The 23,143-nt window shown below is 46.2% G+C and overlaps 1 protein-coding gene and 1 pseudogene across 26 annotated transcripts in view, besides 7 other annotated features; one reads left to right on the top strand and one right to left on the bottom strand.

Annotated features, from left to right (window-relative positions):
• Positions 1-23,143, bottom strand: part of SYTL3 (synaptotagmin like 3) — a 119,936-nt gene that overhangs the window by 32,121 nt on the left and 64,672 nt on the right. For 16 of the 26 annotated variants that reach the window (XM_006715606.4, XM_011536254.3, XM_006715611.4 and 13 more), the window contains 3 exons: positions 18,873-18,951; positions 14,540-14,664; positions 7,114-7,248 (listed from right to left, as the gene is read on the bottom strand). In XM_006715606.4, coding sequence (XP_006715669.1) covers positions 7,114-7,248; positions 14,540-14,664; positions 18,873-18,951 — 339 coding nt within the window. Of the gene's footprint in view, positions 1-7,113; positions 7,249-11,894; positions 14,503-14,539; positions 14,665-18,872; positions 18,952-23,143 lie in introns of those variants that run through there. The other 10 variants (XM_047419556.1, XM_047419557.1, NM_001242395.2 and 7 more) reach the window with 3 other exon arrangements.
• Positions 1,391-2,590: an enhancer, noted in NCBI's record as "P300/CBP strongly-dependent group 1 enhancer chr6:159151193-159152392 (GRCh37/hg19 assembly coordinates)". NCBI's record gives its function as "activates an origin of replication core promoter dependent on BRD2, BRD4, P300/CBP, MED14 and CDK7 cofactors, with strong dependence on P300/CBP, by STARR-seq in HCT116 cells {active_cell/tissue: HCT116}" and the evidence as "EXISTENCE:reporter gene assay evidence [ECO:0000049][PMID:35650434]".
• Positions 1,391-2,670: a biological region, named in NCBI's record as "P300/CBP strongly-dependent group 1 enhancer GRCh37_chr6:159151193-159152392".
• Positions 2,170-2,670: an enhancer, noted in NCBI's record as "H3K27ac hESC enhancer chr6:159151113-159151613 (GRCh37/hg19 assembly coordinates)". NCBI's record gives its function as "activates a minimal SCP1, AML or CMV promoter by ChIP-STARR-seq in primed H9 embryonic stem cells {active_cell/tissue: H9 hESC(primed)}" and the evidence as "EXISTENCE:reporter gene assay evidence [ECO:0000049][PMID:30033119]".
• Positions 5,948-7,061, top strand: AMZ2P2 (AMZ2 pseudogene 2; annotated as a pseudogene).
• Positions 11,490-12,689: an enhancer, noted in NCBI's record as "P300/CBP strongly-dependent group 1 enhancer chr6:159141094-159142293 (GRCh37/hg19 assembly coordinates)". NCBI's record gives its function as "activates an origin of replication core promoter dependent on BRD2, BRD4, P300/CBP, MED14 and CDK7 cofactors, with strong dependence on P300/CBP, by STARR-seq in HCT116 cells {active_cell/tissue: HCT116}" and the evidence as "EXISTENCE:reporter gene assay evidence [ECO:0000049][PMID:35650434]".
• Positions 11,638-11,737: an enhancer, noted in NCBI's record as "active region_25362". NCBI's record gives its function as "activates an Ori minimal core promoter by ATAC-STARR-seq in GM12878 lymphoblastoid cells {active_cell/tissue: GM12878}" and the evidence as "EXISTENCE:reporter gene assay evidence [ECO:0000049][PMID:35858748]".
• Positions 11,808-11,857: an enhancer, noted in NCBI's record as "active region_25361". NCBI's record gives its function as "activates an Ori minimal core promoter by ATAC-STARR-seq in GM12878 lymphoblastoid cells {active_cell/tissue: GM12878}" and the evidence as "EXISTENCE:reporter gene assay evidence [ECO:0000049][PMID:35858748]".
• Positions 16,582-16,671: an enhancer, noted in NCBI's record as "active region_25360". NCBI's record gives its function as "activates an Ori minimal core promoter by ATAC-STARR-seq in GM12878 lymphoblastoid cells {active_cell/tissue: GM12878}" and the evidence as "EXISTENCE:reporter gene assay evidence [ECO:0000049][PMID:35858748]".

The raw sequence follows: 23,143 nt of genomic DNA, 5'->3' as shown, positions 1-23,143 counted from the left end.
GGACTGATGGGTTAGCTCTTGGAAGTGCCTGACGTTACTGCATCCTATTAAGTCTTTAAGGTACGCCAAATTTTTCCTTCGTCATTGGAGACACGAGGTAAAACTGGTCTTGGAAGATGGAGGCTGGATGGCCCTTGAGGGCTGACCTGCAGGGTACTGCACTTTAGGAAATAGCAGAGAGAGTCTGGCACAGTTTACTATCCTAGGCTGTGGGATTTTGAAAAGGACCTACTATGCAGTCTACGTCTTGTCGATTAGAGGACTGTCCGAGTGGAAAGGGGACAAGCTGGGCCTCTGGCCTACCGTGCGCACACGCGTAACAGTCGCTTTTATTTAGAGTGCGGATGGAATATTTAATCCATTTTAGCCAGGCATTTATATTTTGATACCTTGTCTTCATTGCTATCGTTTGCCTTAGGTTTTTCACCTTTACTATAGAGACTTCAGTCTTGTCCTTGTGCTTGGGAGGAGTGATTGATGGAGTGGTTGAAGGAGATTGACAACTAGAAGGAGTAATTCTTTTGGTGAAATGGATATATGGATTTAAGGACTGACAAAGACCTATGGAAGCAGTCTATTTTAAACCTTTAGTGTTGTATAGGACATTAGACTAAGCAGAACATAGAGATTTTGTTTCAGAAGGACAAGAGTCTGATTTTTACTAATACAGCTACTATTCTCTGGATTACTAGTATTCTTAAAGGAACTTACTATGTCTTCCTAATTTGAGGAAGTCCAAGAGGGACAGAGATATTTTTCTGAAGTAGTAAGCTGTTTTTGGTTATGTAAATCTTTATAAGGCATAATTAAACAGGCATTAAAAGTAATAACTTGAGGTGAGTTAGATTTAGTTATGTTGGCCAGGCACGGTGGCTCACGCCTGTAATCCCAGCACTTTGGAAGGCCAAGGTGGGTGGATCATGAGGTCAGGAGATCAAGATCATCCTGGCTAACACGGTGAAACCCCGTCTCTACTAAAAATACAAAAAATTAGCCAGGCATGGTGGCGGGCGCCTGTAGTCCTAGCTACTTGGGAGGCTGAGGCAGGAGAATGGCGTGAACCCGGGAGGCAGAACTTGCAGTGAGCTGAGATTGCACCCCTGCACTCCAGCCTGGGTGACAGAGCGAGACACCATCTCAACAACAACGACAACAAAAATTAGTTATAAGATGGGAAGTAAAGGGAAGAAAAGAAAAAGAGAGATAACTTTGGAACAATGGCCCATGATTCTGAAGGTGATGATGCTTTTTTGACTTGGGTATGATGTGTCCATCCTTTTTTTGCTGTGCAAAGGCAGTCTTGGTGGTTAGCAGCACAAGGTAGGGTCCTTCCTAGGCTAGCTTGAGTTTTTTTTCTTTTTATTTTTTGATGAGGACGTGGTCCCCAGGGTGGTGCTGTTGTGCTGGAAATTCTAGGGGTAGGACCTGTGCTAAAAGACTTTTAGTTTTTTTGTTTTGTTTTTTTTTGAGATGGAGTTTTGTTCTGTGGCCCAGGCTGGAGTACAATAGTGTGATCTCGGCTCACTGCAACCTCCGCCTCCCGGGTTCAAGCTATTCTCCTGCCTCAGCCTCCCGAGTAGCTGGGATTACAGGCGCCCGCCACCATGCCCGGCTAATTTTTTGTATTTTTAGTAGAGACATGGTTTCACTTTGTTGGCCAGGATGGTCTCGATCTCCTGACCTCGTGATCCACCTGCCTCAGCCTCCCAAAGTGCTGGGATTACAGGCGTGAGCCACCACGCCCGGCCCGAATATCTTTTTTACTACTGGAGGTTTGTGTGATGTTTAATCTCCCCCCTAATGGGGACTTTTCACCTCTTTTTAACCCTTAAGACATCCTGACTAAGGAATACTTCACCGCCCCACCCCGACCCGCCCCCTGGCGGCTTTTCTTTCTTCAGTCCTAAGGAATGCTTTACCGCCCCTGCGGTTTCTCTTACCTAGGTATGTCCTAACCAAGGAATGCTTTACCGCCCCGCAGCTTTTCTTTCCTTAGTCCTGACCACCAAGGAAATATTTTACCAGCTCCTCCGGTATTTCCTTCCTTGTCTTATGCATGAGGTTACCTGGCCCGCGTGGTATGTGAGGACCCTGCACTCCAGGTTACTGGCTGCTTTCTTTCCGCGTTGCTGAGAGTCCAGGTTTATTCGTCACACAGGGTGGGTCTCGATTCCTTACCCCAGAGGCCACCGCAACGAGGCAGTGGGGCGCCTCCTCATGAGAGAGGACTAGAGACCGCCCCTGGAGGAGTGTATCCCCGTACGGGCCACCATTTTGTTATAAGTAAAATGTTTATTTAGAAACAGAATGCTTGTTCCTTACTACTATAAGGAAAAATTAGCATTTAGACAAAAAGTTTTTTTAGCAGGGCAATTTTACTTTCTGCAGAAAGGGTGCTCCTTACAGATGGAACAATGACGACAGCACACCTGAACAATGGAGGGAAGCAATTTTTATCCTTTACGCAGCTTGTCCCCGCTGCTGTGTTTTGTCTCCATTGGCTGGAGCCAGACCTTACAATCTAAAACCTGACTGGCTAATAATTTAAAACTTTTAAAAATAGGTATAGGCAATAGAGAACAAAGGAAAAGAGGAAGTTGCTTGCAAAAGGACTTAGAAAAGTAGTATTTCCAAATAAGGAAGGGGCATAGGCTGCAAGCTGGAATGTGCCTGTGAGCATATTCAGCACAAATATCTTGGTTAAAGTACAAGGACACAGAATGTACTTATTCCTTTGTATCTAACAGCTACATAGGATAGGGCTTAACAAAGAGTTATGAGCACAAAGCAAGGAGGCTTGAAGAAAGTCTTTAAAAGAAATTATTATTTTTAACATTTATTATTATCCTTTAACAAAAAAAAGGAAACTTTAAAAAAAAAACGTTGGCCGGGTGCAGTAGCTTATATATGTAATCCCAGCACTTTGGGAGGCCAAGGCGAGCGGATCACAAGGTCAGGAGATCAAGACCATCCTGGCTAACACGGTGAAACCCTGTCTCTACTAAAAATACAAAAGATTAGCCGGGCGTGGTGGCGGGCGCCTGTAGTCCCAGCTACTCAGGAGGCTGAGGCAGGAGAATGGCGTGAACCAGAGAGGCGGAGCTTGCAGTGAGCTGAGATCGCACCACTAAACTCCAGCCTACGTGACAAAGCGAGACTCTGTCTCAAAAAAAAAAAAAAAAAAGAAAAAGAAAGTAAAGTACAGTACACTTGGAAAGGGGCTAAGCAGGCAGCTTGAAAGATCCAAGTATCCACATGTTGAAATGTAATTGCCAATGTGATAGTATGAAGAGGTGGGGCCTCTGGGAACTGAATAAGTCATGAGGGTGGGGCTCTAGTGAATGGGATTCAGGCCTTTATAAGAGGCTGCACACAGCACTGGACCCTCTTGCCCTTCCATCCTTTTCACCATGTGAGGAAGAGACTTAGAGCCATCTATGAGGAGCAGACCACTAGACACCAGTCCTGTCCATGCCTTGAGATCCTGAACTTCCCAGTGTCTAGGACCATGAAAAATAAATTTCTATTGTTTATAAATTACCCAGCCTGTGATATTTTGTTACAGCAACATGGATGGACTAACACAAGTGTTAATTGAAGCATTATGGCCCCTCACCCAAGAATCCACCTATTATACCATGCGTCACAATTCTAGGCAAAAAAGTAAACACTCAATGTTTTTTGTTTATTTGTTTTTTGAGACAGAGTCTCGCTCTGTCGCCCAGGCTGGAGTGCAGTGGCGTGATCTTGGTTCACAGAAAGCCCCACCTCCCAGGTTCACTCCATCCTCCTGCCTCAGCCTCCTGCCTCAGCCTCCTGAGTAGCTGGGACTACAGGCGCCTGCCATCACGCCTGGCTAATTTTTTGTGTTTTATTTATTTATATTTTTTTAATAGAGACGAGGTTTCACCATGTTAGCCACCCAGGCTGGAGTGCAGTGGCGCCACCGCGCCCGGCTAATTTTTTGTATTTTTAGTAGAGAAGGGGTTTCACCTTGTTAGCCAGGATGGTCTCGATCTCCTGACCTCATGATCCACCCGCCTTGGCCTCCCAAAGTGCTGGGATTACAGGCATGAGCCACCGCGCCCGGCCTTAATGTTTTTTAATAAACAAATGAATGAACGAATGAATTAAAATGCCTACCTATACACAGAGAATACATTTAAAACATCACAAAGCAATCTTGAAAAAGAAGAACCAAATTGGAAGACTTATAATATCCAACTTCAAGACTTACTACAAAGATACAGTACTCAGGATAGTGTGGTCTTGGCATAAGGACAGACGAAGAGATCACTGGAGCAGAACAGAGAGTCCATAAGGAGATCCACACTTATGTGGACATTTGATTTCCAACCAAGATGCCAAAGTCACTGTGGGATACAACAGTCTTTTTTTTTCTTTTTTTTTTTAACAAGTGGTATTAGGTTGACTAAATATCCATATGGAAAAAAATGAGCCCCAATCTCTACCTTACACCATTCACTCACACACAAAAATAGTAACGAGCTGGAGCACAGCCCTGAAGGTAAAAGCTAAACTTTTCTAAATTTCTAGATGAAAACATGGGAGAATATCTTCATGACTTGCAGATGGACGAGACACAGACTTAACCGTAAAAGAACATGCTGCCAAATCAGACTTCATCAAAATTATAAAAACACAAAATCAAAAGACACCAATATTTATTATTACTCCCATATGTATGAAAATGTTCATCATAAGATGTAAAAAAGAAAACCACTCTCAAAGTATAGCAAGGGTTTCCCCAAATCCCAACCTAAGTAAAATATCACTTCCAAGTTCTATTGTCACATTCCAGTTTCTCTCACAAGGCGACAGCTCATCCCTCCCCTTGTCTACTGATGTCATAACCATGCCGCACATATCAAGAGTAGTTGGGGCTGGGGACAGTGGCTCATGCCTGTAATCCCAGCTACTCGGGAGGCTGAGGCAGGAGAATTGCTTGAACCTGGGAGGCGGAGGTCACAGTGAGCTGAGATCGTGCCACTGCACTCCAGCCTGGGCAACAGAGGGAGACTTCATCTCAAAAAAAAAAAAGAGTACTTGGATGAGACACGCACATGAGAACGGCCATGGGAGGTGGGCGGGTGGCCTCGAGGCCTGGTGGGTGAAGATTCCCTCCACAACACTTTTCCGGCCAGGCCCAGCTATGTCCATCCTTATAAGGTAAAAACCTCAGAAGGATGCCTTCTTCCTAATAAAGCCTCATGGCCGAACACCTGTTTGACCCATTTAAAAGGAAGAATGAAAGTTCTAGGCCGGGTGCGGTGGCTCATGCCTGTAATCTCAGCACTTTGGGAGGTCGAGGCAGGCAGATCACTTGAGGTCAAGAGTTCGAGACCAGCCTGGCCAACGTGGTGAAACTCATCTCTACTAAAAATACAAAAATTAGCCAGACGTGGTGGTGGGCGCCTGTAATCCCAGCTACTCAGGAGACAGGCATGACCATCATTTGAACTGGGAGGCGGAGGCTGCAGTGAGCTGAGATGGCACCAGCCTGCACTCTGGCCTGTGCAACACAGTAAGACTCCATCTCAAAAAATAAATAAATAAATAAAATTAAAATAAAGAAAGTTCAGCTGGGCATGGTGGCTCACGCCTGTAATCCCAGCACTTTGGGAGGCCGAGGCACGTGGATCACGAGGTCAGGAGATCGAGACCATCCTGGCTAACATGGTGAAACCCCGTCTCTACTAAAAATACAAAAAAATTAGCCGGGTGTGGTGGCGGGCGCCTGTAGTGCCAGCTACTTGGGAGGCTGAGGCAGGAGAATGACGTGAACCTGGGAGGCGGAGCTTGTAGTGAGCCAAGATCGCGCCACTGCACTCTAGCCTGGGTGACAGAGCAATACTCTGTCTCAAAAAAAAAAAAAAAAAGAAAGTTCAACCTAGGAACACGATGTTAACAGAAGAGATCTGTCATTATGCAAACAGTATGGCACTCTGAACAGACACTGAAAACATCTCCATCTCAAAGATCCCAGGCCTTGTGTCACAGTATGGGAAATTAGATGCTGGGGAAAACAGTGCTGAATGAACGAAGGCTTCCAGCCAGCCAGTGATCTCTTTGGACCCATTACTTTGCATTCCCAATCATATTAGATCACTTCCCATCCAGAGGCTCCCCAAGACTTTGAACAGTTCTTCAGTGGCCCTTACAGAAAGACACTCTCTCCAGACAAATGAGTATTTATATTCAGTCCGCTGGATCTCTAGGAAACACCAGAATTATCAATGAAGAATCTATGAAATGGCTCAAGGCCTATTGGGAGGCATAATTCTACGGCTTGAGAGCAAACCTCCTAGAACTGGTTCCTGTTTCTGCAATGAGGTGTTCCTTTAGAGCCAATGATAATTCACAAACAAAGCCTACAAGTTCATGCAGGGGACATCTTGAAGTTCTTAAAAAAGAAGAAACCTGAAGACGCCTGTGTCATGGGGATAACAATGATTGATCTTTACCCAAGAGACTCCTGAAATTTTGTCTTTGGACAGGCCTCTTTGACAGATGGTGTAGGGATATTCAGCTTTGCTAAGTATGGCAGTGATTTTTATAGCTTGTGCTATGAAGGCAAAGGGAGGAAGTGACAGAAAACATCTTCAACTGACTATTCAATTTTTGATAACTATTACATTCTGGAAAGAACTAATGTTTCACTACATTGATCCTGTAAGATTTTAACACATGAGATTGGACACACACGTGGACTGCGACACTGTCAGTGGCTTGCATGCCTAACGCAGCTCCAACCACTTGGAAGAAGCTGACCGGCGCCCTCCTGCCCTATCTGTTTACGCGAGTTGCAGAATGCTGCATTATAGAAAGCTACAGAGCACTGGTGGAGTGGATTGATAATGAATCTGCTGACACACCTGGAGTAACTCCAAGACACAGGCCTGAGGATAACGCAACTTTACTAAAACCTGTGGAAGCCTTTAAGGAATGGAAGGATGGATAATAAAATGCCTTGCTGTTCTCCAAAAATAAGGACCTTCAAATAGGAGTAATTGAAATAAGGACTTGTACATTATGCTTTCCAAAAAAACAAAAAACAAAAAAACAAAAAAAGAGCATTGGAATGAGACTCACGTGTCTAAAACCTCCAGAGAATATGGTACTGGGTGCCGGACTGGATGGGAGATTCTGTTGCTTCAAAATAGGGTTAGTAGAGCATTTGGGATCCTCTTGATTGAGAGGTTTCAGAATATCTGGTGCACTGACCTTCTGGAGAAGGAAAAACAGAAATTAATATTATAGTCTCCATCCCAGTTTGGTTTTGTTCAAATGTGGTGACTTCAGCAAGCATCTATGACTTGATGTTACTAACATGCAAACTTCTGAGTAGGAGGACACACCTGCATTTGGTAAATGCGTGCACGTGCGCACACACACACACACACGCACACACACACCACACACGCGCATGCGAGCACACAGGGCCCAGAGACAGACAACATCCAGCTTTGGGATAGTCATGAACAGTCATGGGTAGATTACTCGTGGATTAGTAAAAGTCTTAAGTCCAAATTTTAGCCTTAATAAATGGTCCTGGCATTTAATCACTTGATATATAATAATTAGCCTGATAAGCAGAGTTTTAGCTCTAAGATGCTTATAAAAAGGGAAAAATCAAAATATGTCTCTAAATTTTCTAAAAATACTTTGCTAACAGTTGATGCTTTTTTTATTTTTTCTTTCTTTTTTTGAGACGGAGTCTTGCTCTGTCACCCACACTGGAGGCTGCAGTGCAGTGGCACAATCTTGGCTCACTGCAGCCTCCATCTCTCGGGTTCAAGCAATTCTCCTGCCTCAACCTCCCAAGTGGCTGGGACCACAGGCATGTGCCACCACACCTGGCTAATTTTTGTATTTTTAGTAGAGATGGGGTTTCACCATGTTGGTCAGGCTGACCTCAAACTCCTGACCTCAAGTGATCCACATGCCTCAGCCTTCCAAAGTGCTGGGATTACAGGCGTGAGCCACCACACACAGCCAAGCTGACATTTCTATGATGTATACAGTTGTGTTTTCCAATATGGTAGTCACTAGCCACACATGACTACTTAAATTAATTGAAATCAAACAAACTTAACTTCTCAGTTGCGCTAGACCCATTTCAAATGCTCCATGGCCACATGCAGCCCTGGGCATTGTGTGGACAGCTCACATAAAGATCATTCCCATCCCTGCAGAAAAGTTCCATTGGAACACAATGGGCAAGGTGGGAAAACCTCTTAATGACTGAAAATATACAGTTTCCAAGTGGAGACTTTAGTTTTTGGTGGTGGGTTGAAAGCAGAACTCAGAAATACAACAGTTGCCCCACAGTCATAATTTTCAGGAAGAAAATACTAAGTGAGAATATGATAGAACAAATGAAAGAAAGGATTACCTCCAAATTATTTATGCTTTCCATCCCCAGAATGCCAACTTAATTCCTACAGACATTTATTTATTAAGCAACACTATATTCACAGCACTATGCTAAATTCTGGGGGCTGGAAGAGTAGAAGGGGAGGAAGAGAGAAGAAAGAGGAGAAGATGAAACGTCCATCCTCCAAGGGCTCACTAGCTAGTAGGAAGACAGAGACACCATTCAAATGGAAGCACCAGCCAGGTCAATGGGAAAGAGGCCAGGGACAGTTTCTCCAGCACGCAGGCCTCTGGGGGATGGTCTTCAGTGAGGCTGCAATCACCCGAGAGGATGCTGAGGCTGGCTGGGGTAAGCCTGAGAGGGAAGGCCTTCCACCTGGAGCAGCTGGTGACGGTTAAACAGAAAGCACGTCCTAGACCTACAGACACGTAGACACGTGGACACAGATCACAAACACATAGGGGATGTGTGATGTTGTCTGAGGGGACACTAAAGGTGTGACAGAAGTGTCAATCAAAGCTACAGCGGAGGAGCCAGAGGCTGGAAAAGCCAGAAGATCCAATGGGAGGGGTTCAAGAATGAAGGTGTGCCAGAGGAAAAAGTAGGAGAAAAAGCTTACCTGCAGTTAAAGAAAGGCACATTTTAAATAACTGCCCATTATATTGGCAAATGTTAAAAATTATAAAGTTGAGTTTTACTAGAAGAAAGTCCTGGAGATGGATGGTGGTGACAGGTGCACAACATTAGCAATGTTTTCAATGCCGCGAACTATACACTTAAAACGGCACAGATGGTAAGTCTTATGTGTATTTTACTATAATAAACATTTCGAGGAAAAAAAAAGGTACAAAGTTGAATGTTGGCAAGAGTGCTGGAAAACACGTGACTCTGCCTTGCCAGTGGTCAGGTAAATGGAGTCAACGTCAGTGGAGGGCAACTTGGCAGCATGAACTAAAAGCCTTAAAAAGTAGCTGTTAGGCTGGGCTTGGTGGCTCACACCTGTAATCCTAGCACTTTGGGAGGCTGAGGCAGGCAGATCACGAGGTCAGGAGATTGAGACCTGGCTAACACGGTGAAACCCTGTCTCTACTAAAAATATAAAAATTAGCACGTGCCTGTAGTCCTAGCTACACAGGAGGCTGAGGCAGGAGAATCACTTGAACCCGGGAGGCAGAGGTTGCAGTGAGTCGAGATCATGACACTGCACTCCAGCCTGGGCGACAGAGCAAGACTCTGTCTCAAAAAAAAAAAAAAAAAAAAAAAGAGTAGCTGTTAAAAAGAATAACTGGCCAGGCATGGTGGCTCACACTTGTAATCCCGGCACTTTGGGAAGCCGAGGCTGGCAGATCACCTGAGGTTAGAAGTTCAAGACCAGCATGGCCAAAATGGAGAAACCCTGTCTCTACTAAAAATACAAAAATTAGCTGGGTGTGGTGGCAGGCGCCTGTAGTCCTAGCTACTCAGGAGGCTGAGACAGGAGAATGGCTTGAACCTGGGAGGCGGAGGTTGCAGTGAGCCCAGACTGTTCGCTCGCTGTCTGGGTGACAGAGCGAGACTCCATCTTAAAAAAAAAAAAAAAAAAAAAAAAAACAGAAAAGAGAGAAAATCTTTTTCCTCCACCTCTGTCCTCAGTTCCCCTCCCCAGAGATAGCCCCTCCTGACGGTTTTTAGGCATCCTTCCTGTTTAACAGGTGCATGTTTTTATGGCCAATATAGGTCAATACTGTACATTCATAACATATACAATAAAATCCCAGTGGAATGCACAGAAGAGGAGAGGTAAGAATTCACTTCTTGAAGAATTCTGGCCCAGATGCTTAAGTCAGCATTTTTGAAGGGGTGTTTTCAGAACATGTGGTTCAAACTTAACAGAGAAGTGGTGTGGAAAAGATCCTGAGCTGTTTTCTCAGTTAACATCCCCGAGTCACCGCGTGATTTTAAGGTGGGAGGATCACTTGAGCCCAGGAATTCAAGACCAGTCTGGGCAACATGGTAAAACCCTATCTCTAGAAAAAATACAAAAATTAGCTGGGCAGAGTGGTGTACTCCTGTAGTCCCAGCTACTCGGGGGTGCTGAAGTGGGAGGATCACCTGAGCCCAGGAGGTAGAAGCTACAATGAGCTGTGTTTGCACCACTACACTCCAGCCTGGGTGACAAAGTAAGACCCTGTCTCAAAAAAACAAACAAACAAACAAACAAACAAAAAAAGAAAGTTATCTACTACTTCTGTGCCTCAGTGTAGCCACTTGCAAGGTGGGCACCAGCATCCTCTACTTCCAAAGCAGGGCCACCGTGTTCTATAATTAATATTGATGAAATATTAATAATCTGATGAAAATGAGAGGAATTTTGGTGAGCTCCCCAGCTAAGGCATGTGTAATTGCAGTCTGATGAATGTTCTATTTAAAGACGTACTCCTGGACCAGGCGCAGCGGCTCACACCTGTAATCCCAGCACTTTGGGAGGCTAAGGCAGGCATCCGATTGAGCTCAGGAGTTTGAGACTACCCTAGGCAACACAGCAAAACCCCATTTCTACTAAAAATCCAAAAATTAGCCAGGTGTGGTGGTGCATGCCTGTAATCCTATCCACTCAAGAGGCTGAGGCATGAGAATCACTTGAACTGGGGAGGGAGAGGTTGCAGTGAGCCAAGATTGTGCCATCGTACTCCAGCCTGGGCAACAGAATGAGACTCTGTCTCAAAAATAAATAAAAATAAATAAATAGAAGTGTACTCCTTATATTTCAACCCAATAGTTATTTAGCATTTATAGATCATACTATCATTGCTGAGTACTTTATAAACATTTGGCTAAATTGTCCCTTATAACAGCCATATCTGGCTGGGCGTGGTGGCTCACACCTGTAATCCTAGCACTTTGGGAGGCCTAGGTGGGAGGATTGCTTGAGCCCAGGAGTTTGAGACCAGCCTGGGCAACATCTCTACTAAAAATAAAAATTAAAAAAAATCAGCCAGGCATGGTGCCATATCCCTGTAGTCCCAGCTACTTGGGAGGCTGAGGTGGGAGGATCACTTAAGCCTTCGAGATCGAGACTACAGTGACCCACGATATCACCACTGCACTCCAGCCTGGGCAAGACAGCGAGACTTGGTCTCAAAATGAAACAAAGAAACCAACCCAGCCACAACCTCAATTAAGGTGGGGAGAGAGAAGGCCTGCAGAAAGTTGGAAGCGTTCCTGCCAAGAGCATGGCTGAGAAGTGGACACACGCATAACAATGTCTACTTGGATTGGCTCTCTCCCCACTGTCTCCCCACCGTCTCCCCTGCACCCCACCACTTCTATCCCTGAGCTCCCTTAGCCCTTCAGACAACCCTGGCCAGGCTCTGGGCCATGTGCACATGCAGCAGGGGAGGGGGCGTGCCGAGGACCCACGGGCCATCCTCATGCAGAACGCCACAAGCCCAGCCTGTGGTGCGTGGGATGAGCCACCACACAGCACATCACGGTGCAAATGGGAAATGCGTCTCACCTCTGGGGCGTGGACAGGGTGTGGTTGGTCTCTGGAGCAGGCTTCACCTAGCTCTTGGTCATCTCTTTGCCCCAGTGTCCCTGTCTTTAGTAGGGACAGGAACAGTACCAACTTCATAGGGCTGTCTTAAGGATTACAAAGGCTAAATACCTCTGAAGGGCATTACGCTGAGAACAATGCCAGGCATCTGGTTAACCCCAAGTCAGTGTTAGCCTCTGAGTGGTTTCCTGTGACTCAAGCAAGTAAGATAATTACTCATGCTTCCACACGCCCCTTCCTGAACCCTCTTTCTTCAGCGGTCCTCATTTGTCCTTCTTATGGGAACATAGAGTTTAGAATTCAGAGTCAAATCCCAGGTCTGCTCCTGGCTCCATCTCTCATTCACTATGTGACATTAGGCACGTTGGTCAACCTCTCACTAAAACTCAGGCTTTTTTTTTTTTTTTTTTTGAGACAAAGTTTCACTCTTGTCACCCAGGCTGGAGCGTATAACAGTACGATCCCGGCTTACTGCAATCTCTGCCTCCTAGGTTCAAGCAAAGATTCTCCTGCCTCGGCCTCCTGAGTAGTTGGGATTACAGGCACCCGCCATGAGCCTGGCTAATTTGTGTATTTTTAGTAGAGACGGGGTTTTACCATGTTGGCTAGGCTGCTCTCGAACGCCTGAACTCAGGTGATCCACCCACTTCAGCCTCCCAGAGTGCTGGGATTACAGGCATGAGCCATGGTGCCCGGCCAATTTTTAAAATTTTTAATTTATTATTATTTGAGACAGGGTTTCACTCTGTCACCCAGGCTGGAGTGCAGTGGTGCAACCATGGCTCACTGCAGCCTTGACCTCCTGGGCTCAAGCGATCCTCCCACCTCAGTCTCCCTAGTAGCTGGGATTATAGACATGTGACACCACACCCGGCTAATATTTGTATTTTTGTAGAGACAGGGTTTTCTCATGTTGCCCAGGCTGGTCTCCAACTCCTTGGCTCAAGCAATCTGCCCACCTCGGCTTCCCAAAGTGCTGGGATTACCGGCATGAGCCACCAGGCTCGGCCGATCTTTATCATGGGAGTAACAATGTCTACCACGGTATTTTTGTGAGAATTAAATGTGATGAAGTAGGTAAGAAGCAATGCTGCCACCACGTGTGGCACACAGGGCTTCATATGGTTGCTAACCCTCCCCTCCACCTGTTTCACTAGAAGGAGTGATCCCCGGAGGGAGTTCGGAGGGAGCTTCTGTAGACCCCGGGAAGCTGACAGGAGCTGACACTTGTGTTATAGAATTTCAAACACCTGCCAAATACATTTCAAACTGTCTAGACACCTCGCTCCTGAAGTGTGGTCTGAGAACTTCACAGCATAGACTTCGCCAGATCCCAGGAGTTCACCAAAAATGCATCTGCGGTTCCTCATCTCACGTCCACCCCGCAGCTACTGATTTGGAATCTGCATTTTAAGAGCCCCAGTGACCCCCTATACTCATAAGAGCTGGGAATCACTGCCTCAGAGTTCAGTCCTCTTTTGGCTATACAACCTTTGGCAGGTGACTTAATCTAAACCTCCATTTCTTTACATGTAAAATGAGGCTGCATGCAATACCTACCCTAGATGGTGGTTATGAAGATAAAATGAGATAGCCTAGTTAAGCTATTAGTACAGAGTCCAGCACATCATAGTCAATGCTGGCAATTTAGATAAAATATTTAGATGACTTAGATAGCAAATCAAGATACTACATTATCTCATTAGATGTTTACAAAACCTTGTGCTGTGCGCAGAACAGGTATTATCATCTTCATTTTACAGAGGGGCGCACTGGGCTGGAGCGGGAGGCAGGACGTGAACTCTCAAGAGGCTGTGTGCAAGTTCCAGCAGGAGAGGGGGGCTGACCTCACACCCTCGCCTAAAGGACAGTCTGTCTGGGGACAGCCTGAGTGGAGTCCACAGCAGCAGAGAAGGGACACCAGTTCTGTCCAGCCTACCAGGGCAGTCACATCAACACTGCAAGCAACAGCTGGTGGCACCTGCCCAGCCAAGGCACCTCAGCTGAACTAGAATGCGGGCTTTCCCATTCTAAGGTTGGCTCTCTCTCATACCCGAAGCGTTCACTCCAGGCTGGGTTAGTCCTGGTGGGAAGGTGGAATAATTATTTCCCTAGAAGCCTTTACTAAGGGAGCTCTCACTTGTGGTGTGGACAGCGGGGGAAGAGCGCCCCCACAGGCTTGCTCGCGCCTTTACGTTTTCAATAGTTTCCATCAGAGGTCAGGATAGATTTTAACCAAAGGCTGCTGGTCTTGCAGACTCCAGGGCTAACCCGGCAGGTGTGGGCCCTGCAGGAAGCCCTTGGGCTTTGGCGCAGGCTTGAAGCCAGCAGGGAGCTCTGTGGACACAGAGGAGCCTCAGGGGCTTGTGATTAGGTGGAAGCCTTTCCTTGTGCTGAACAGTTTTCCAGACTGACCTTCAATCCTGACCTGCCTTGGGCCAGCCCTGCCCAAATAGAGGCACTGACTGGTAATTATGTTTTTCTGATGGCTTACTGTTTTTCTATAAAACCAAAGAAAACATAAATCTACAGAGAAGGCAGGCTAGAAAGTTCTGGAAGACAACATGAAGGTGATCAGCGTGGAGGCCTTGTGGGGCTCAGGGTACCCTGGTGGTGACGTTGACCGCAGTGTCAGACTGGCTCCGTCTCTCTGTCTGTCCCACACACTGCCTGGGGCCCGTGGCGAGAAGATGCTTCTCAGAAGTCATATCATTCTGGGATTTGGAGAGCTCTAAAAGGCAAACACAAGGGTTGATGGGTGGGAACAAGCAGCTTTGCTGAGACTTGTGGGAGCCTCTTCTGGGGTTCACTGAACCCACAGACAGTGGGTCCCAAGGTCTTAAGAGGGCAAAGTGCACGGAGGAGCAAGGGCGGCACATTCCCCCACCAAGTGCAGAGGTGTTGGGAAGGTGAGCAGACAGTGTGCTGGGTCAGGGCAGGAGAGGGCTGGCTTCCTTCAAGGTCCCGCTGTGGCCACCCAGGCCATGGTCAGGGTGAGAGGTGAAGGGAAATCATCCACCCAAGCTCCTCTGCGTTCCAGGTCACACATATGTGTGTGCACTCATCCAAACACGAAGACGGCAGCCTACCAAACAAGCCGGCTTTCTAGGGGTTCCTTACAAAGATGTTACAACTTAACACCATTTCTTGTGACTTTTTGAAGCGAGGTAAAAATAAGATTTGGGGTGTCCTCATAACAATTATAATAAACAAACCCTGGAAAGATGACTGTAAACAAATTTGTTTCATTTTTACAGTGTAATAGTGGTCTAGAGTAAAGATGAAGAAAGTTTGAAGGAAGGAAGCCACATACAGAAGTGAGAGAACCACCTTGAAGATAGTTTCATCCTCTGAAGATGGTTTCATTTTCCCTTGAGAACCCCACTCCTCCAAACGGGGACCTTAAAACTGTCTCTAGAGCTGTGCTGTCCGGCAGAGAGACAATGCAAGTCACACATACAATTTTAAATTTTATAGTAGCCATATTTAAAAAGTTAAAAAAAAAAAAACAGGTAAAATTAACTCTATTTACTTATTTATTTTTGAAATAGAGTCTCACTCTGTTGCCCAGAATGGAGTGCAATGATGTGATCTTGGCTCACTGCAACCTCCGCCTCCTGGGTTCAAGTGATTCTCATGCCTCAGCCTCCCAAGTAGCTGGGATTACAGGTGTGTGTCACCACGCCCGGCTAATTTTTGTATTAGCCATGGTTTCACCATGTTGGCCAGGCTGGTCTCGAACTCCTGAGCTCAAGAGATCCACCCACCTTGGCCTCCCAAAGTGCTGGGATTACAGGCTTAAGCCACCATGCCTGGCCAAATTAATTTTAATTCTATATTTAGTTTAACACAATATATCCAAAATATTAAAAAATGTCATCAACATTAAAGTTATCCATGAAATATTTTACTTTTGTTGGATTCCAAGTCTCTGAAACCCAGTGTGTTCACTTTGGTAGTGCATCTTGCAGCCCTATTTCAGGGGCTCAAGAGCAACACGTGGTTAGAGGCCACTGCAATGGACACTGTGGCTCTTGACCCCCCGGCTGGCTTTGGATCCACCTCCTTGGGATGTTATTGCATGAATCCTCTATCCTCTCACTATGTATTCGTTCTCTCCTGCCTACACTGCCCAAGAATGAGTCTTGCAGTATCTCTTTCATCTAAAGAGGGAACGGCTGGGGTGTCCAGCTTTTCCACCAGGATGCCTCCTAGCCTCCTCTGATAGCAATGCCATCCCCATGTCCTCAAGGTGACCATCAAGAAACACTGGGGGATCTTTCTAAGGCCAGCAGCTCGTAAGGCACTAGTACGCACCAGGTCCTCAAAGTGGACAAAGTAAAGGACACGCTCAGATGGTCCATCTCAGTCTGGACTGTGAGGCTGTGAGGGGCTCTAATTTCTAAGCCCTTAGGAGGAACTGGTCCCCCAGCAATCTCTTAGTGCCCATCCCAAAGCCTGGGCCTATTTGGGCCATTGAAAGTTCACAGATGAGGGGAGAGGACAAGCCTTCTTGAGAAATTTGGGCTCTAAGAAATAGGCTTATAGGTCAGTATTATTAGGGGACAAAGGATAAGGAAGAGAAAGAAATGCAGATTGCTTCTGGGCAAGACCAGTTTTCTCATTTCCTCTTCCCCTTTCTAAGGGGGACTACAGTGCTGACATCTTCTAGAAACGTACTGATAATAGACAGAGCTGCAGCCACTCATTTCCTCCCGCTGGTTTGACTTCATTGGGCAGCATCAGCAGCTAGAGGTTGTAATTCTGGGTCACCTTTCAAAACCCCTCAGGGGCAAAGCCACCCTTCAGCACCTGGGCCAGTGAAGAGTCTGGGGCCCTCTACAGTCCCTCCCCGAGGACCTCAGGTGCCAATCTTCCTCCCCTCAGAATGAGGCTTCCCTCTGCACCCACTTCCGTGGGGAAACAGGCAGCCAATAAGATAATAGGAGCACGAGAAGAGGAGCTCAAAATCCAAAGAAATAGGAGTCAGCGCCTACAGGACGCTAAGTGTCCTGTGGCAGAGACGGGAGAAGGGCGTGTGTGTGGTCACGTGTCCTGTTCCTGCAGAAACAGGGGAAGCACTCGGGAAAGGTCAGAGGCCAAGCACCACTCCCAGCAGCCAGAAAGCTGGGGTTTTCTATCTCTGCCTCTGGGCAGGGGGTGGGGGTGGTGGGGGGGTATGGGGGGTGCTGGGTGCGTGCGTGTGTGTGTGTGTGTGATGCGGTTTCAGTCTGCTTTCCATATCTGAGAAGGGATGCTTGCTGTTTTGCTCTTGTGAATTCCCCCACACCTCGCCCAGGGACTAGCTCTAGTTGTCCACCTGGGTATTACACTGGTTAGCCTCAAGTGCTCAAGTGTGTGAGCAGGTACACAGGCCAGGCTCTGGGGTGGCCACCTGACAGCTGTGAGCATATCCAATGAACCTGTGTGCAGGGCTGGGAGCATCCAGGAAGGTGCATGTGTGCTGACGTGTGTGTCCCACCTCTCTGGATTTCGGTGGCTGGGGGATGACAGGGTTGGGGCTAACTCCAAGGCACTGATTCTATAGTGGCAGTGGTGGAAGACAATTCACAGAAGCCACATAGATTTGGAGAAGGGCTGTGCACCTAGAAAGACATACAGGGAAGGTGAACTAGCACCCACCCATACATGACAAATACAAGGGGGTGGGTGGGAAAATAGCACCCACAAGAGAACAAGAGAAGAGGCAGCCGGGACAGCTGGAAAACACGTTCCAGGCCAAGGGGCACAGAGCAGGGGTTACTGTCAGAGAGCCCAGCAGGATGGAAACAGTGATTTTTAAGCCACCAAACGCTCTTAGCAAACAGGCCCATGAAATTCAGCTGCTTCCTCCCTAAGAAAGGAACAGACCATTGCATGAGACGACTGTTTCTGCTCATCTGAAGAGCAGTGCTTTGATGTCCATTGTCATCGTGTGACAGCTGACACAGGGCTCATGAGGAATACGGACAACTAATTAAAGTCACATAAAGAGACTGTCTCAGAGCCAAGTGCAGCACTGAGACCATCCGCATGCAACTACAGAAAAGGGGATGATGAAGAGAAGCCGAGCAGAAACACAGTGAAAGAGAAATCCATGCCTAAGGACCCTTGAGCACACTAAGGACATTTTCTAAACACCTGACCAGCCCTGGGCATCTTAGGAGGCATGAAAAGGAGTCTGTCCTCTGGGACTTGAATTTTAAGATAAACAGAGAAAAAAGTATCTGAGCAGAAAGAACATTGAAAGACACAAGATTGCAAGTGGAGGTGGTTCTAGGTTACATGCATCTGCAAATCACAGGATTACTGCTAACTGAAGAAAATACATTTACCAAGGAGGAGAGGAGAAAGGCAAGTAATTCCATGCAGACAATAGATAGATAATTGGGCCCTACTGGCCTGAAAGGTTCTGGTTTTAGATTCCCTGAAATTGCATCTTTTTTTTTTTTTCTTTTTCTTTTTTGAGACGGAGTCTTGCTCTGTTGCTCAGGCTGGAGTCCAGTGGCGTGATCTTGGCTCACTGCAACCTCCGCCTCCTGGGTTCAAGTGATTCTCCTGCCTCAGCTTCCCCAGTAGCTGGGATTACAGGCACCCACCACCATGCCTGGCTAATTTTTGTATTTTTAGTGGAGACAGGGTTTCACCATGTTGGCCAGATGGTCTCGAACTCCTGACCTCAAGTGATCCACCCACCTTGGCCTCCCAAAGTGCTTGGATTACAGGTCTGAGCCACCATTTCTCTTCCTATGAGGAACCAGAGGCCTGCTTTGTTGGGAAAGAGATGAAGGGCCAGGTGCTGTGGCTTTCCCCAGGGTCCAGAGACAAAGTGAGTGGCCTGAGGGACAGTGTCAACCGAGGTCACCGGCCAGGCCCTGGCCAGTGGGCTCGGCTGGCCTGGAAGGTAGTGGGAAAACACATCATGAAGCATGCACTTACTTTTCACGTGGGTAGCAAGAGACAGAAACAAATTTTCCACGGACTTATTAAATCCTCTAAACTGACCAAATTCCTGTAACTAAAACAGAGACAGAAGGAGAGAATGAGAATTATGCTTGATGACTTGTGTTTGCCTCAGCAGTGTCCAGGCTGCCAACCCCAAAACACTGGCATGTGGGTGTGTGCGAGTGAGTGTGGGCGTGGTGCTGGGGGTGCAGGTGGGCATGGGTGTGTGCATGCAGGCCTGGAGGCGGACAGCAGTCTTCCTGAGGGGTAGGCATCTTCTTCATTCAGCGTCTCTCCCTACTTTTGCTATTCACATTGAAGGAGCATTATCAGCGGGTTGTTGACAAGATGACAAGTACCCCTGGGAAATGATGACTGGCATTTCATTGGCTCAAAGACTGTACTCAAGTAAATTACTGCTTGTTTAACCTCTTTTCTCCAATGGCCCCACCCCAACTCCATGCAGAAGTGGCAGGATGTGGGTGGCACAGGGGATGAGGATGGTAAAAGCCACAAGGTGACCAGGCAAGAGCTGAGGGGCTCCACTTCCCAAAGCAGAAGAAAAAAAAGATAAAACAACAGAAAGGAGTTCACTTCCTTATCCAAGTCTCATTCATTCATCCATCCATCCACCCATCTAGCCACCAAACATCCATCCATCTTACATTACCACCCATCCAATCATCCATCTGTCCAATAAATACATCATGAGCACGTAGGTACTGGAACGACTCTGGAGAATTTGAAATTTCCAGGAGAAAGTAGAGCAGGATTTTGAAGGTCACCCCAGTCTCAGTTTGAAACTGAAAAAGAGGCCAGGCGCGGTGGCTCACGCCTGTAATCCCAGCACTTTGGGAGCCCGAGGCGGGCGGATCACGAGGTCAGGAGATCGAGACCATCCTGGCTAACACGTGAAACCCCGTCTCTACTAAAAATACAAAAAAAAATTAGCTGGGCAAGGTGGCGGGCACCTGTAATCCCAGCTACTTGGGAGGCTGAGGCAGGAGAATGGTGTGAACCCGGGAGGCGGAGCTTGCAATGAGTCGAGATCACGCCACTGGTCTCCAGCCTGGGCAATAGAGCGAGACTCTGTCTCAAAAAAAAAAAAAAAAAGAAAGAAAGAAAAGAAAAAGAATGTATGTGATTCTTCTCTCTTATCAGCATTATATATTTTTGGGTTTGGATCATAATCTCAAAGACACAGTCTCAAATGCCATAATCCTAAACGATGAAAGATCAAAATCCCTAAAGTCTAAATCCCTAAAGATTAAAATCCCTGAAGTCCAAATCCCTAACATCTAAAATCCCCAAAATCACAATTATGGGATAGTTGCATCATGTTAGGGGGACCTATTACTTTGTTACTGCCTTTATTAAATTAAGTATGACTTAAGGAGAGCCTATGGGTACAGGTTGACAAGGGGTGGACTCGTGGACTTAATTAATGACACCTTAATTGTAGGCATCCACTTGATTGGCTTCAGGAATACCTAGAAGCCTGGTAAGGCATTATTCTGGGTGTGTCTGTGAGGGTGTTTCCAGAGGAGATTAGTGTGTGAGTCTGAGTGGATTCGGTTAGAAAGATCTGCCCTCAATATTGGCAGGCACCACCCACTCAACCAGGGGCCCAAGGAGAACAAATACAGCAAATGAATTGGTCTCTGAGAGCTGGAACAGACTTTTCTTCTGCTGCCTTGGACATCAGAACCCAGGCTGATTGGCCATTGGACTCCAGGACTTAGACCAGAGGCTCCCTGGGTCCTGAGGCTTTCAGCTTTGAACTGAGAGTTACATTGTCAGAGGTATGTGAACCACAGCAACTCCATCTTGAATAGGAGCTGGGTAAAATGAGGCCGAGACCTACTGGGCTGCATTCCCAGATGGTTAAGGCATTCTAAGTCACAGGATGAGATGGGAGGTCAGCCCAATATACAGGTCATAAAGACCTTGCTGATAAAACAGGTTGCAGTAAAGAAGACAGCTAAAATCCACCAAAACCAAGATGGCAACAAGAGTGACCTCTGGTCGTCCTCACTGCTACACTCCCACCAGTGCCATGACAGTTTACAAATGCCATGGCAACATCAGGAAGTTACCCTACATGCTCTAAAAAGGGGAGGCATGAATAATCCACCCCTTGTTGAGCATATCATTGAGAAATAGCCATAAAAATGGGCAACCAGCAGCCCTCAGGGCTGTTCTGTCTATGGAGTAGCCGTTCTTTATTCCTTTACTTTCCTAATAAACTTGCTTTCACTTTACTCTGTGGACTCGCCCTGCATTCTTTCTTCCGCGAGATTCAAGAACCGTTTCTTGGGGTCTGTTTCCTGTAACAACACCATCAGCTTTCCTGGCGCCGACACCTTGGGACTTGGACTGAGTCACGCTACTGGTATCCCAGGGTCTCCAGTTTGCAGATGGCTTGTGGAGAGACTTCTCAGCTGCCGTGATCACGTGAGCCAATTCCCCTAGTAAGACTCCTCTCATGTATCTATATACATATCCTATTGGCTGTGTCTATCTGGAGAACCCTAATACAGATTTGGTATTGAGGAAGCCACCTATCATTCCTTCTTATTGTATTCCTCACAACACAACAGAAGAGATCTGTGAAACGGTTCCTTCACCAAAAAGCCTGTGATATGAGTATAAGGTTATTTAATAATGAATGGTAAAAGTTTAAAAGCTAATTAGTATTGGTGTTGCAAAAGTAGGAAATGGCTTAATTGCAACGACTGGAGCAAGAACCAGCCTTTCAAATGGACAGCATGTGCTTACAAAATGCGTAGACCTGGCTGGGCGAGGTGGCTCACGCCTGTAACCCCAGCGCTTTGGGAGCCCGAGGTGGGCAGATCACGAGATCAGGAGGTCAAAAGCAGCCTGGCCAATAGTGAAACCCCGTCTCTACTGAAGATACAAAACAAATTAGCTGGGCCTGGTGGCACATGCCTGTAATCCCAGCTACTCAGGAGGTTGAGGCAGGAGAATCGCTTGAACCCGGGAGGTGGAGGGTGTGATGGGCCAAGATTGCGCCATTGCACTCCAGCCTGGACAAGAGTGAAACTCCATCTCAAAAAAAGAAAAAAGCAAAAAAAAAAAAAGCTTAGACCACAACCACTCTCCAAATACAAGTGCAGCAAGTGTTTCAAAGATCTTAGAAGTAAAAACACAGGCAAAAAAAATACAAGAAATCTCCGCTGCCAAATTATTTAGTTTAGTTGTGTATGAATTCTGCCCCTTCACACACAGCACAGTTTGCTATGCTGTGTAGTTCACGTTCTCATCATGTCCCATGCTGGAGGTAAAAATTACAGACACTTTTAGAGTTTTAATTTGTGTTATGCATTTTTTTTTTTTTGAAAACTGACTCCATGCTTCAAAGTACGTCATCACACCATGACTCTGACATGTACATAAAGATGTTGATATTTCCTAAGGGAAGAGATCTCCTTTTTGTACATCTGTATTTGCAAAAGATAAAATTTCTTGAGATCTCAGCTGTTTGGGTGACTGTATATGCAATGGTGACCCATGGCGGTTTTTGATCCATCTCATCAAATGACTGTTTGAAAAATACTGCTGTTCATGACAATATTTCAGTTACAAAGCTGGATGCACACAATACCAGCCATAGTAATGTGTATTTCTACACTTCCCTTTCTGATGTATTTCTTTATGAATATGGTTCATCTGTTCATAATTGTTATACCCATGTGACTGTCATTAGTATATCTGAGTGTTTATGCTTGCAAAAATATGCATGCTGTTTTTGCCTATTTATTGTGTAAAGTGGCCAGTTAAGTGTTCTGTCATGGTTTTTGTTTTTAGTTTGTTTGTTTAGAGACAGTCGCGCTCTGTTGCCCAGGCTGGAACGCATTGGCGCAATCATGGCTCACTGTAGCCTTGGCCTCCTGGGCTCAAGGGATCCTCTTCCCTCAGCCTCCTGAGTAGCTGAGCCTACAGGCATGTGCTACCACATCCAGCTAATTTTTTTATTTTTTGTAGATAGGGTCTTGCTATGTTGCCCAGGCTGTTGTCATGTTTTTACATGTTTCTCAAATCCCCTTTAAATTTTTTAAATAAATTTCTTCAAAATCATTTTTAGATTTTCTAGAATTATATTTTTGGGATTTTGATCTTTCAGGATTCCAACATTCAGGATGATAGCACTCAGGACTATGTCTTCTGGGATTATGATCAGCTCCCATATTCTCCCATATATACCTGCCCCCTTTAATTTATAGAATAATGAAGATAACCAAGAC

The sequence above is a fragment of the Homo sapiens genome, chromosome 6 (assembly GCF_000001405.40).
Source record: "Homo sapiens chromosome 6, GRCh38.p14 Primary Assembly".
Classification (NCBI taxonomy): Eukaryota; Metazoa; Chordata; class Mammalia; order Primates; family Hominidae; genus Homo; species Homo sapiens.
The sequence above is the reverse complement of the archived record's forward strand: the minus strand, read 5'-3'. Positions and strand labels throughout refer to the sequence as shown.